Source organism: Homo sapiens, chromosome 12 (assembly GCF_000001405.40).
Source record: "Homo sapiens chromosome 12, GRCh38.p14 Primary Assembly".
NCBI classification, from domain to species: Eukaryota; Metazoa; Chordata; class Mammalia; order Primates; family Hominidae; genus Homo; species Homo sapiens.
Window position 1 is genome coordinate 128,935,490 of NC_000012.12, and position 14,788 is coordinate 128,950,277.

The 14,788-nt window shown below is 44.1% G+C and overlaps 1 protein-coding gene and 1 pseudogene across 12 annotated transcripts in view; one reads left to right on the forward strand and one right to left on the reverse strand.

Annotated features, from left to right (window-relative positions):
* GLT1D1 (glycosyltransferase 1 domain containing 1) overlaps positions 1-14,788 on the forward strand; it is a 131,491-nt gene that overhangs the window by 82,012 nt on the left and 34,691 nt on the right. For all 12 annotated transcript variants that reach the window (NR_159493.1, NR_133646.2, XR_001748588.2 and 9 more), the window contains 2 exons: positions 9,837-9,880; positions 11,849-11,969. Coding sequence is in view for 9 of the 12 variants with exons in the window: in NM_001366889.1 (NP_001353818.1) it covers positions 9,837-9,880; positions 11,849-11,969 (165 nt within the window). In the remaining 3 variants the exon portion in view is untranslated. The remainder of the gene's footprint in view (positions 1-9,836; positions 9,881-11,848; positions 11,970-14,788) is intronic.
* On the reverse strand, positions 6,610-9,807 carry AK3P6 (AK3 pseudogene 6; annotated as a pseudogene).

The window sequence follows — 14,788 nt, forward strand, 5'->3', positions numbered from 1 at the left end:
AAGATTGTGCCATTGCACTCCAGCCTGGGTGACAGAGTGACTCTGTCTCAAAAAAAAAAAAAAAAAGAACAATAGAGTAGAGATGTTCTTAGATTGCCTAAAATGTCGCTGAGGCTGCATATGTTTTATTTATATTTATTTGTTTATGTATTTATTTGTAGAGATGGGATCCCACTATGTTTCTCAGGCTGGTCTGGAAGTCCCGGCCTCAAACAATCCTCCCACCTTAGCCTCCCAAGTCACTGGGACTGCAGGCTTGTGCCACCATGCCTAGCACTGTTTTAGTTTTTAGGTGCCGTACACATGCTCATTTTTGTGGTAATTCTTAGCAAGAACTTTTTAAAAAGATGGGTTGTAGTCCCGTACGAAATCCACGCAATCATTCAATGCTAACCGCTGGCAAGTTAGTTAACACCCCTAGACCACAACCACATGGCTTTGTAGTAGAGTGGTCACACGCATGTCGTGGATTCTGGATCCAGCTACCTGGGTGCGCAGGACTTAACTGCTCTGTCCCTCAGTTTCCCCATCTATAAAATGGGGACGACTGAGCTAATACTACCTGCCTCACAGTTTGCAGCGGGGATTCGATGAGTGAACACTTGGACGGTGCCTGGAATAGTGCCTGGTTCCTAGGCAGCATCCTGTGAGTGTTAAATAAAATATCTTTTTTTTTTTTTTTTGAGACGGAGTCTCACTCTGTTGCCCAGGCTGGAGTGCAGTGGCCTGATCTCGGCTCACTGCAAGCTCCGCCTCCCGGGTTCACGCCATTCTCCTGCCTCAGCCTCCCGAGTAGCTGGGACTACAGGCACCCGCCACCACACCCAGCTAATTTTTTGTATTTTTAGTAGAGATGGGGTTTCACCGTGTTAGCCAGGATGGTCTCGATCCCCTGAACTGGTGATCCGCCTGTCTCGGCCTCCCAAAGTGCTGGGATGACAGGCGTGAGCCACCGCACCCGGCCATAAAATATCTTTTCATGCTGATGTTACCTTTCTGCTTTGACATGCTGAGATTCTGTTTTAGCTGCAGGATGGTTTGAGCGTGGCTTTGGTTTTCTATTAAAGCTTCTTTGATCTCTTAGCTCAACCGTTTCAACGAAGCATATGGTCTCTGCTTGCAGGCGATCATATGTGGGTGCATTTTCTGGTGCTCTTTGATAAGGAGTGGGGTATGCACATTTGGTTTGAGCATGACAGCTTAATGACTTTCCACAATAACTTCTTATATCGAAGATTACTTCCCTTAAGCCTAGGAGTTGTAACAAGGTATTTTGCTAGAAAATAAATAAGCTTGGAAGGAGGAAATGAGAATTTTCATTGTGGCTTGCGATGCTTTTGCCCTTTAAAATTTCATGACATGTGCTTTCATTAAATAAAAATATCCCCCCTTCTTTTTCTCTTTATCTTGCACTTTGTTCCACGTGGCTTCACTAAGAGATTTGAAAGTGAACTGATGTGGAAGGTAAATCCAGAAAAATTTAATGCAGTTTTTAGTTTCAACTTGAAAGTTGCTGTTATGCCTTAAGTTTTAGATAAAGTGTTTTTGTGGTCTTATAAAATTTGATTTCTTTCCTTGATAAATTATTTTTCCTTAGTTATTCATGAGAGCAGAGGCATGCTAATAAAATTAAAAGTAAGAGAAATTCCTAACTAAAAATACTCATAAAATGTGATTTTGAAAATTAATATGTAGAGCCCAAAAAAGGCTTTCATTGGACTGTGTACTTTTTCATGATAAGATGTTAGGGTTAAAGGATAATTCAGTTGTTTAGGATAATTCGAGCAAAAGGCATCAGAAATGGGAAATGGAAAGGTGGGGTCTGCTGGAAATCATTCTTTTTGCAGATCTTATGAGCATAGAACTATATGCAGGGCCCTGTGCATGGCCTTGGGAGGGACATGGAGATAGGAGGAGAAGGTGGGCAAGTATCAAAAGACGTTGGCCCCTGTGGTAGGAGGTGTTACCATAGCGTGGGGTGGAGATGTTACTTCTGGACAGGGTGATGGGAAAGTGTCTCAGAGAGGGGGCATTGCCTGCATCTCAGAGGATGAATAGGTTTTGGGGACAGAGGATGACATTCCTGGTAGAGAGAATGCAGGGACACAGATAGACACTGATATGGTTTGGCTGTGTCCCCACCCAAATCTCATCTTCAGTTGCAATCCCGTGATCTCCACGTGTCATGGGAGGTAGTTTAATCATGGGGGTGGTTACCCTCACGCTGGTTTTTGTGATAGTAAGTTCTCGGGATCTGATGGTTTTATAAGGGGCTTCCCCCTTCACTCTGCACTTCTCCTTGCTGCTGCCATGTGAAGAAAGACGTGTTTGCTTCCCTTCCACCATGATTGTAAGTTTCCAGAGGCCTCCCCAGCCCTTTGGAGCTGTGAGTCAAGTAAACCTCTTTCCTTTGTAAATGATGCAGTCTTGGATGTGTCTTTATTAACAGTGCGAGAACAGACGAATACGGACACGGTTGGGGTATAGTGGATAAATTAATAAGTAGGTAGGCTTTCCAGAATCGACGTAAGCTTATGAACTATATCTGAGGAAATACTTTGGACAGAAACTAGAGAGGCAGCAGAGCATAGTTTTACAAATTCAGCCCCAGGAGTCAGCCTGAATGTGAATACTGGCTCAGCAACTTTCTAGCTGTGTGATCCTGGTTAAGTTATAGAACTCTCTGAGCTTCAGTGTCTTCATTTGTAAAAGGCGGGTAATGATAACCAGGTTGTTGGAAGAAATAAGCTAATGCATGTAAAGGACTTAGCATATGTTCTGCACAGAGTAGGTGGCCGAGAAGTATTAACTATTAATGGCAACAACAGCAATAAACAAAAAAATTGTGTATGGCTATAATTTTTCTCTTGAAATAGATTTCTAGGAATTCTTTTAAATTTTCTTATGCATCCAAATTGGCTGAAGGCTAACAGCAAATTTTCAGTGACTTAGTGACCTCAGGGATGTCAACGAGCTTAACATTACCAATCCTTTGCGTTAAATCTCAGGCTTTCTGGTCATCTGAAGGAGCTGGGGTTTAATACACACGTGAAACATCTCCTTGCCAGAAGAAATGGAAATAAAGTTTCTAGAAAGCAGCGTTATTTCAGTTAGTGTTATAAACTGTTGGGATATCATCATATTCTTCAAACCAACTTGGTTTGTAACTCATAATGCCTACTGGTAAAGTGTAAATGAGAATAGAAATTGAATATGCCTTCACTCCCGGCTCATCAGGAGTAGCAGCTGGGAAGAAACTGCAGGCATAGCATTAGCAAAATGTGTTTAGACCCTCTGCCTGTATCTTTGAATAAATGCTTAGAATTTTGTGTTACACTTGCATATATTTAGGAATTTTTTTCAGTATTTTAAAATTCTATTCATTGTCGATAAGACCAGGAGAGGCATGGGTGTTGGTTGTTTTGTTGAAGACTTTGCTGTTGGATGAGCCAGATATGATAACTGTATTCTGCAGCTTTGTCCTGAGTGGGCTGGAAAAGGTGAAACAGCACCCTAGGAAGGTCCTCTCAGCACCTCAGTAAGCAAACTTACCTGAGGCCAGGTTGTTGCACAAGACGAGATCATTGCACAAGACGAGGTTGCATAAGATGATGTCGTGTCACGGTGAGGTTTCTGCTGGTGAGGAGTGTGGCTGCTGCCCCTGGGAATCCAGGGGTTCCTTTCAGGCAATCAGGGAGCTTCTCTCTACCTCCCAGTTCTGGAGTTTTCAGAAGTGTGGCAGTGTCACTTAATCTCAGATGTGTACTTAATCTCAAAAGTACACATTTGAGGCCGGGTGCAGCAGCTCATACCTGTAATCCTAGCACTTTGGGAGGCCAAGGTGGGCGGATCACTTAAGGTCAGGAGTTCGAGACCAGCCTGGCCAATATGGCGAAACCCTGTCTCTACTAAAAAAAAAAAAAAAAAAGTACACATTTGAGATTAAGCTCAGCCGGGCACAGTGGCTCATGCTTGTAATCCCAGCACTTTGGGAGGCCGAGGCAGGAGGATCACTTGAGCCCAGGAGTTCGAGACCAGCCTGGGCCACATTGTGAGACCCTGTGTTAGTTCTCCCACTGCTATAAAGAACTACCTGAGACTGGAGAATTTATAAAGAAAACAGGTTTAATTGGCTCAAGTTCCTCAGGCTGTATAAGAAGCACAGCCAGGGAATGCCTCAGGAAACTTTCAATCACAGTGGAAGGCGAAGGGGAAGTAGGCGCGTCTTACATGTCTGGGTCAGGAGGAAAAGCGCGAGGCTGGAGGTGCCACACACATTTAAACAGCCAAATCTCCTGAGAACTCCATCGCGAGACAACACTGGGGGATGTTGCCAAATTGTTAGAAACCCCCCCCCACCGCCGATCCAATCACCTCCTACCAGGCCCCACCTCCAACAATGGGGATTACAATTTAACAGGAGATTTGGGTGGGGACACAGATCCAAACCATATCAGACCCCATTTTTAATATATATATATATATCTTATATATGTACACACATATGTGTGCATATATAAGATTAAGCTTATAGATTATTTTGTATTGGTGGTGCCGTCTGTAGCTCTCAATAGATGTATTTTGTATTGTATTGTAGCTCTCAACAGATGTATTTTGTATTGGTGGTGGGATCTGTATTGGTATTGTATTGGTATTTTGTATTGGTGGTGTCGTCTGTAGCTCTCATCGTTATTTTCTTCTAGCATTTTTCTAATAAGACTTCGACATTTGACTTTTTTCTTCTGCAACACATATAGCAGTTACTGTGTCCCAGGCACAGTTCTAACAGCAACCAGAGAGGCAGCAGAGCATAGTTTTACGAATTCAGCCCCTGGGGTCAGGCTGAATGTGAATACAGGCTCAGCGCTTCATGTCTTCTCAGTCATTTACTCCTCCGAGCAATCCCAAGGTGCTAGAGTTCTCATTGGACAGACGAGCAAACTGACACGCAGAGAGGTCCGTTAATGTGCATGAGGCTAGTTTGGTGCCTGGGTGGCCTGACCCTGGCCCTCTGTATCCGGAGTCCCCTCAGTCTGGTGCTGCCTCTTTCTGGCCTCCACACATCCACTACGAGTTTGCTTAAAAACTTCTGGCCTGTCTTTGAGGAGCGATAAGTTTGAACATGTTGCTATTAATTTTTGCATGAATTCAACAAGTGTGTTATTAGCCTTCAGGAATGCAACAGGACGGAAATAGTCCCTGCCCCAAAGCACCTGTTCCTTCCAGATGCAAAGCAGGAGTCAAGTCGGGACTGGAGGATGTTAGGTTGTGACTAATGAAAAGGCTGCCCCTGGCCTTTAAAAAGTTGAGGTGGAATTCACATGCCACGAAATTCACCATTTTAGAGGGTACAAGCCAGTGGGTTTTAGTCTATTCACAAAGTTGTGCAACCATCACACCTATCTCATTCCTGAATATTTTTTCTCTCCCCAAGAGGATACCCTCTATCCACTAAGCAGTCACTTCCCATTTCCGCCTCACCCCAATAACCCCTAATTAGATCCTGAGTGACCCCTGGGTAACCACCAATCTACTTTCTGTCTCTGTGATTTGCCTGCTTTGGCCATTTCATAGACATGGAATCATACACTCTGTGGTCTTTCCTGTCTGGTGTAACTCACGTGGCATCGTGTTTTCCAAGCTCACCCTTGTTGCTGCCTAAGTTGGCACTTCCTTGTCACGGCTGAGTGGCACTCCTTTGTATGGATTGGCACATCACGTCTACTCATTCATCAGCTGATGATCAGGTCCTGGCCTTTCAAACTGTTTCTGCGAAGTCATCCTGTTAAAAAATATTTTGATATGGTCAGACCTTTGGTCATAGACTTACTAAGGATTCCAACCTATTCTGCCTGAATGATTTTATGACAAAATCCTTCTGCATCATTTAAGCAACACTTCCACTGCAATATTGGGTGGTTGTCAAATTGTCCCATTTCTGGAAACGACTCTGTCTCAAGACCTTAAGTTGGCTGAAGGGTTCTCACTCACCACACTCAGGTGTAGCCATACAGGCTCCTAACCAGAGTCTATATGTATTCTTTGGAACATTCTGTCTCTTCTTTCTCTCTCTCTTTCTCTTTTTTTTTTTTTTTTTTTTTGAGACAGAGTCTCACTCTGTTACCTAGGCTGGAGTGCAATGCGGTCATCTCGGCTCACTGCAACCTCCGCACCCCGGGTTCAAGCGATTCTTCCGCTTCAGCTTCCCAAGTAGCTGGGATTACAGGTGCTCACTCTACCCCCACGCCCAGTCAATTTTTGTGTTTTTAGTAGAGACAGGCTTTCACCATGTTGGCCAGCAGGCGGGTCTCGAACTCTTGATCACATGATCCCCCCTCCTCAGCCTCCTAAAATGCTGGGATTCCAGGCATGAGCCACCAGCATGAGCCACCGTGCCTGGTCTCTCTCTCTCTCTCTTTTTTTTTTTTTTTTTTTTTTTTACTATTATTGTTTTTATTATTTAATAGCTGGGCTCATAGTACCATTTCCTACTTATTTTTTTCCCTCTCTGAATTGTTGAGTCTGGCTCTGCTGCCATTTGATGTAATTCCTGGAGACTTAGCTTCATTTCAGGCTTTTGCTAACATGTGTCTTCTTTTTTTTTTTTCCACTGTTTTAAGGTCATTTATTAGAACACAGTCATTCAGAAGCCACTGAGACATCAGGCAGCAGGAAGGAAGGTGGGGTGGAGCAGGCCCTGTGAAGGACCAAGGACAAAGTAATAGCCTCAGTTATGAAATTTCATTTTATTCTGATAAAGACTAATGTATGCCTGATAACCTAGTGATAATCCACAAGTTTGGTAGTTCACAACATTTTTAGAAAGCACGTACGATTAACATTTAAATAAGGCATTATAGAAAGTTTTATAAAGAATGAAGTGTGTACTATAATTCTTTTAAGAAACTTTGGTTCATCTTGAAAGATCAATGAATTTTTAAAATATCAGAAGAAAAGGAAAATAAATTTTTTTCCCCAAAAATACATAAGAACTGCTTACTGGCACTTGTATTTTAAGTACCTGGGGAAAAAATGGAAAAGATTTTTAAAGGCAATTAATAACAGCTTGTACGAGGGCTTGTTTCATTTGTTCTGGCACCAAGTAAAGAGTAAATACGCCATGGAAGACGCCATCAGGTTTTCCGTCCACCTCTCCTACTGCCCCACTTCTCCCAGACCACACAGCACATCAGCAGCCATCCTTGCTGCCCCACTCAGGAATCACTTTAGATTCCAATTTTCTTTGTTTGTTTGTTTTTGTTTTTTGTTTTTTTTTTTTGAGACAGAGTCTCGCTCTGCCCCCCAGGCTGGAGTGCGGTGGCACGATCTAGGCTCACTGCAACATCCACCTTCCGGGTTCAAGTGATTCCCCTGCCTCAGCCTCCTGATTAGCTGGGGCTACAGGCGCGCCATCCAGCCCGAGTAATTTTTTGTATTTTAGTAGAGACGGGGTTTCACCATGTTGGCCAGGATAGTCTCGATCTCCTGACCTCATGATCCACCCGCCTCGGCCTCCCAGAGTGCTGGGATTATAGGCGTGAGCCACCACGCCCGGCCTAGATTCCAGTTTTTAAATGGCTTCTCAGATGACACCAACAGAGTTCTTTCCCTTTAAAATAAGGTGGCAGTGAATGCTAACAGGTATCGATTTCTTGGATCAGGAACAAAGAACTCCTTCAGGAAACTCACTTACTGGTCCTGGTTAACCTATTGTGTAAAGTCTTTTTATTGGCACACCTGTTTACTAATTATGATTGATTGCTATTTATGCCAAGGGAGCGTTTCCCAGGCATATCTCATCTATTTACTAACGACAAAGTGTGCTTACTTTATTTACATAGTGCCACAGGTTTTCTCTTTTCTCTCTTTTTTTTTTTTGGCAGGGAGTGGCACTATAACTTGTTATTTATCAGGGCGGATCATACATTTGGATCAAAAAGAGGAACCGGCAAGTAGATCCTAAAACACATTTCTCAACCTGAGTCACATCTGAAAACATATAGATTTTAATTACATTTTGTTGAAAATTCATTCAACTTCGGTGCTTGTCCAAGAACTTATAATGTTAATTTCTGACATAAATCATAACCCTCAGTACATATGTATTTTCAAAGGAAACAAGTCATCTTAAAGTAATATTTTTCTATATGCGAATGGATACATTGTTGTAGCAAATTGAAAATTCTGAGTAAACTGAAAGTATGCTTAACAACAAAATAAATACAGCATATATGGTTAGCATACACATTTCTTAGTAGCAGAGGATTTGTGTCTTACAACAAATCTGTAAACCCACTTGCTTTCTTTCTGGTATTTTATATAGTGTCTCCCCATGTTCCACAACGCTGGAGATGTCTTTTGTGGCATCGATCTGTGCAAACATTTCTGATCACATATTTTCCCCCAATGACATGTAACTTTTTTTTAACTTTTCCGGGAAAATACGGAAGCTTTATCAACCACTTATTAACTGAACAAAAACTTAGATTACTACCAAATGCTCTTTTAATTTTGCTCCAACAGATGTTTTAAAAGTTCAGACATCACTGATGTTTTTGAGGATAGCTGCGTAAAACACACTAGATGATTTCAAAGGATGAATCTTAGTATCTGACTCATTTGGCACATCCTTAGTATCTAGAATCAAATCAGTAGAAATAAAAGTCATATAATTTTCAAAGAATTCATACATACTGGAATTCTTAGGAAAAGCAGCTTCTAAATGCAAGGACTATGAGGTTTGCCCATCTTACTACTAATAGTTCCACACATTTCTCCTTATAGAGTAACTGAAGCTTCCTGGCTTGTTTGAGGAACGTCAGTTTGGAGGAAAGCATATCCACAGGGCCAAATCTTGTTGGTTTCTGTTCTGGAGAATGTTTCCAACACCGCTTTTTTTCTGGTAATAGTCCAGGACTGGCTTTGTTTGGCTTCATAAGCCTTTAGTCTCTTGATAACCATCTCTGGTTTATCATCCTCACGCTGAATGAGCGGCTCCCCTGTCAGAGCATCAATGCCCACAGTTGTGGGAGGGTTGAATCCAATGTTGTAGACTTGGCCATTGGTGAGATGAATCCAGTGAGCAGTAAGGCGTTGTTTAATGACCTCAAAGGACATATTCAGGTTAATCACTGTGTCGGTCTGATCAGCTTTATCTAGGGCTTCTGCCTGTGGAAGTGTCCTTGGAAAACTATCCAACAGCTAGACTGGGTGAGATTTTGCAGTTCCTGAAGGGCCACGCCAAGATGACATCATTTGGGATGAGTTTCCCTTGGTCAATGAAAGCCTTGGCTAACACGTCAATTTATATATATATGTATATATATATATAAAGTTCTGGGGTACATGTGCACAATGTGCAGGTTTGTTACATAGGTATACATGTGCCATGGTGGTTTGCTGCACCCATCAACTCGTCATTTACATTAGGTATTTCTCGTAACGCTATCCCTCCTCCAGCCCCCGACCCCCAACAGGCCCCGGTGTGTGATGTTCCCCTCCCTGTGTCCATGTGTTCTCATTGTTCAATTCCCACCTATGAGTGAGAACATGTAACAGGCCAATTTCTGCGCCCCGCAGCATGTTGTCCCGGAGCAGGTCCCCGCTGGAAAGGTGCTTTAGCTCGAAGTATTGAGTGATACGCGACGACACAGTGCCCTTGCCCGAGCCGGGGGCCCCCATGATCACCACACGCAGCAGCCGCGAGGACACCCCCGTGGCCGCAGACCGAGGCCCACGCCGCGCTGGCACCAGGGCTTTGGCCTGGCCCGTGCTGGCCGGCTGGCAGCGCCACTAGCAGGCGGCGACCGCTGACATTTATCTTTGTCTCTTTTCAGGTCGATCCAGTGTTTACAAGGGAAGTGAAAGCCAAAGTGAAAAGGTAAGAGTTGGTGGAGACCAGTCATTTTGCAGAACGGGAAGCCTGAGTGGCCCCTGGGTTACCTGAACTCACATTTATCCAGTCCCAGGCACTATTCCAAGCAGTTTCCAACTGTTTCCTCATGCATCTTCCCGGCGAGCCCGTGGCATCCTAGGCACTATTATTTGCCCAGGGAAAGGCCAATAAAAATCACTTTGTGATTATAATTTTTAATGGATCACATTGGCCAGAATGGAAAGATTTAAACTCTCAAGGATTTGGAAGAATGGAGGGGTATTGCCCTTTGTCACAGCCTGCCTGGAGGGCAATTTGTTGGTGTGTTGGTTATAAGTTGCATTTGTCGGCCAGGAACCCAACAGCACAGGCTTGAACAGATTGAACTTTCATTGCTCACATCAACAAGTCTGAGGGTGGTCATTCAAGGAGCAAAACGGAGGCTTCCCTGAGACCTCAGGGATTTGGCTCCTGTCTCTGTCCTGACTTCCTCAGCCTGTGGCTCCCATCCTGAAGGTGACATGGTAGCTATAGAGCTGTGTCATCAGTCTGCATTTTAAGTGGGGTGATGGGAATGAGCAGACCAGAAGGATGTGGGTCTTATTTGGGTCAGCCCCCTGTAAAGTGGTGTCTTCACAGCCCCCCAGGATTCCAGCCAGACTCATTGGCCACACCAACCACAAAGGGCACTGACAAAGACTGTTTTTTCCCCATCTATAATCAGGGATCTTTAGATTGCTCCTAGGTGCAGACGCGTGTGTGCAAAAGTATCACCTGCTCGGGGAAGGGAGGCCTGGCAGAGCCATGAGAGTGGTGGCCAGCGGTGGGGACGGGGAAGATCGAAGAAAGGCGAAGATTTACATTGTCTGGTGAAAAAAATAGAACAAGGCAAAATGTCTATGACAAAATAGCTGTCAGCGCTGTGTGCTGGGAACAGGGCTTTTGTGACATTATCGTCTCTAGTATTTCTATTTCCATTCTTTTTTGTTGTTGTTGTTGTTGAGACAGAGTTTCGCTCTGTCGCTCAGGCTGGAGTGCAGTGGCGTGATCTCAGCTCACTGCAAGCTCCACCTCCTGGGTTCACGCCATTCTCCTGCCTCAGCCTCCTGAGTAGCTGGGACTACAGGCACCCGCCGCTGCGCCCGGCTAATCTTTTGTATTTTTAATAGAGACAGGGTTTCACCATGGTCTCGATCTCCTGACCTCGTGATCACCCGCTTTGGCCTCCTAAAGTGCTGGGATTACAGGCGTGAGCCACTGCGCCCGGCCTCCTTTTTTTTTTTTTTTTTTTTTTTTTTTTTTTGAGACCTAGTCTTGCTCTGTCATCCAGGCTGGAGTGCAATGGCACAATCTCAGCTCACTGCAATCTCCGCCTCCCGGGTTCGAGCAATTCTCCTGCCTCAGCCTCCCAAGTAGCTGGGATTACAGGTGCGCACCACCACGCCTGGCTAATATTTGTATTTTTAGTAGAGACGGGGTTTCGCCATGTTCGCCAGGCTGGTCTCCAACTTCTGATCTCAGGTGATCTGCCCGCCTCAGCCTCCCAAAATGCTGGGATTACAGGTGTGAGCCACTGCACCCGGCCTATTTCTATTATTTCTATTCTTATTGTCTCATTAGTATTTTAAAGAATTATTTGAAAAAAAGTTGAATTATTAGAAAAATGTTCTCTAAATCATGCAGAGAAAATGGCATGAACCTTGTCTCTGACTCTTCTAGTCCTTGAGAGCAGGTGTCTTTATGGAGCATATGGAAAACAAAAGCAGACATGTTAAGCAACTCCCTCCCTCCCTTGTCAGGGACATGAGCTGTAAGGATTTCCACCCCAGTATAGTTCTCCTGGCTGAACGCTTGGTCAACAATGCTTACTTGCTGATCTAGAGTATTACACCCAAATTGTCATCTCTCCTCCTCCCAGCTGCCTACCCATGAGATTCTTGGAATCAGAGCCACTCTTCCTGCTTTGTGTTTCAGAGCCGCTGGGGTACGATTGATTGGAGAGATGCCTCAAGAAGATCTGCACGCGGTGGTGAAGAATTGCTTCGCGGTGGTGAATAGCTCTGTCTCTGAAGGCATGTCAGCTGCAATTTTGGAGGTAATTATGTAACTCGAGTACTGAAAGTGGGAGTGTGAAATTGTCCATCACTCCTTCTCCTATTTACGGAGGTGACGTCTTTGTCAATAACATTCTGCACTTCTCAAAGCTAAAAAGGCCAAGCAGCATACCTGTTGGAGTTCAAAAGTACTTTTGAAGTTCTATCTGGGAGTTTAAAAATATCATTTCATTTCTCATTGCTATCTCTCCTAGCCAGCTACGATGTAAAATAAAACTGGGATAGCATTGCCTCTCTGACCTTCTAAATATCTCTGACAGGAAGGCAGCTAAGGTTACAAAAGATTGAGACAGGAAACAGATTGAAGGTATTTTTGCAGGAAGCCTCCCTTTACTTGATCTTTTCTCTTTCTTTTCCATATGTTCTGTAATTCCAGAATTTAAGGGAGGGGAAGAAAGGGCTGGACTTTGCAGGTGGCAGGAGACAGGGGCAGGGTAGTGTTCGTAGATGACGGGGTGGCGTGGGGGCCAGGGTGGATCTGATCTCTTCATCTAGCAGTCAGCTCTATAAAATCGCTTCATCTTTTTTGACAAAATGTGTCTATCCCAGCACCACTCTGCAATTCCCCACCAGCATATCTGTGTTTTCAGGACCGAGGCTGGAGTGGGAAGGCCGTGCTCGTGAAACCCAGGCAGGCCCTGGCTGGGCTGTGTCCCCTCTTCTGTAAAAGATCCTGGCAATCCTCGCATTCCCTTTGCAATGGGACCACCTACATCTCTTCTCCTCCTTGAGAGGTTTTTGACTGGGGTATTTAACCATTATCTTCGGTGCTTGATATTAGGTCCTAGAGAGAATCACCAGCATGTGTCTCACAGAAAAAGATGTTCCTTCTCTTGTTTCGTTGTTAGTTCATTGCCCTGGGGGCTCCTGAAGAATGAACCCAGAAAAGGGCAGGCTGGGCTCACTCACACCAACGCCAGCCTTTAGCACTGGGTTTTCCTCATGCGATTAAAGCACCCAGGACCACAAGCCTGATTCCCTTGGTGGTTCTCAGCACACACACTGCACACGACAGACATGGCGTAAACAAGCATTGATGGGCACGTGATAAAGCCTGTTTTCCTGTCGAAAGGAAACATGTGGCCACTGCTTCCTGAGGTCTTTGATCCAGGTTTCATGTGTTCTTTCTGAATACGTAGATTTCTTATGTCAGTGTCTACTTAGGTTCACGCTGTTACTTTATCATAAGTCTTTGGGATATCCATGTATCCCCTTGGATACCAGGTGAATGTACTGAACTTACTGACAAAAGTTAAGATCTGCAAACCTTTGGGGTCCAGAGAGAACATGGTAAATAAACTAGGAAAAAAATCCTCTCCTTACATTTAAGAAATGACTGACGTTGTATGCATAATATTTGCTCTTAATTTGGCATCATTTATAAAAGAAAAAAAAGACCCCAAAGAAAAAAACACAGAGGGAGATGGCAGAAGCTGTGTGTCCGTGCCCATGAATCTGCTGTTAGGTGCTTTCAGAGCACAAAGTGTGAGTTTGTAACGTGATCATCCTCAGCCAGATGTCAGCACCTCTGCTTAGGGGTTGTCACTAGTATTAATCTCCATTGTCCTTTCAAATTACCTCCCAACTGCAGTCCTCGGGGCAATACATTTTATTCGTCATGTAGGCTTTAAAAGTGTATATGCTTATGGTACCAGTATTTGAACTATTGTGAACTGCTCCTTTGTAGGTAAATATACATTTTTTTTCAACTTCTTAAGGAAAGGTAGAGTGAAATTCGGGAATGATTTTATAACTAGCACACACAGCACTTCACTGCGGATGAATCGCTGTCAAACCTCATTTACTTCAAAGCAAAGGCAGCTGTTAGCAACTCTGACTGCCTTAAAATCTTGATGTTGTGTTCCTTTTGAAAACTCCAAAATAACCTTTGGGCGAAGTGTTTTGAATGAAACTGATTTTAGAGGAGTGGTAAGGGTGCATTTCATTAGAATTCAATTCAGATAGCCACAGTGTTTAATCATGGAATAAGTGCCTATCACTTTTGAAGGAAGTGACCTTTTGACCTTTCAGAATTAGCTGTATTTTCCCATGGAAGCATAGAAACGTCCCATTTGCAGAAACACGTTTCTTACTGATAAACTCCAAAAATCAAACTTTAGCTGGATTCGTGGGCAGCGGGGTGAACAATTCTACAACTAATCAGTTGTTTCCACTTTTGAGCTTTTTGACGGAGTTGAATCCTGCAGAGAATTACATTAAAAGTATATAAACAGTTATTTGCTTATCCCAGCCATCATGATTAGGCTCACACACACACGCACACACACAGGCACACACACACACGCTCACACACATGCACCTACAGATGCATGCATGCACACACATGTACACACGCACATGCACACGCACGTACACACACGTGTACGCACACACACACGCTCTGCCTGAGAGAGAGGAAGCCCATCTTCTAAAGCAGAGACGAGCACCTGCAGGAAGGAGGGGATTCCTGGCCTCTTGGCTTCCAGACTCCAGCCCTAGTGATTGAAGTGGGATGTGAAGGCATTCAAAGGCAGCTGCGACTCTGTGTCACTTTAACCTTGACTAGTTTCTGAGTGTGTGTGTGTGTCTGTAAGTGTTTGTAAGTGTGTGTGTGGATACGGCAGTGCGAGGCCTTTCCCACTTTGAAAAGCGAAGGGCCTTTTGAGTTTTCATCATTAGGAAGATGCTACTGGCATGTATTTGGGATGGAGCAGCTGCAGGGAGGTGGGGTGCCGGTTCAAGGTGCCAGAATATAGCTAATTCTGAAAGGTCAAAAGATCACTTCCTTCAAAAGTGATAG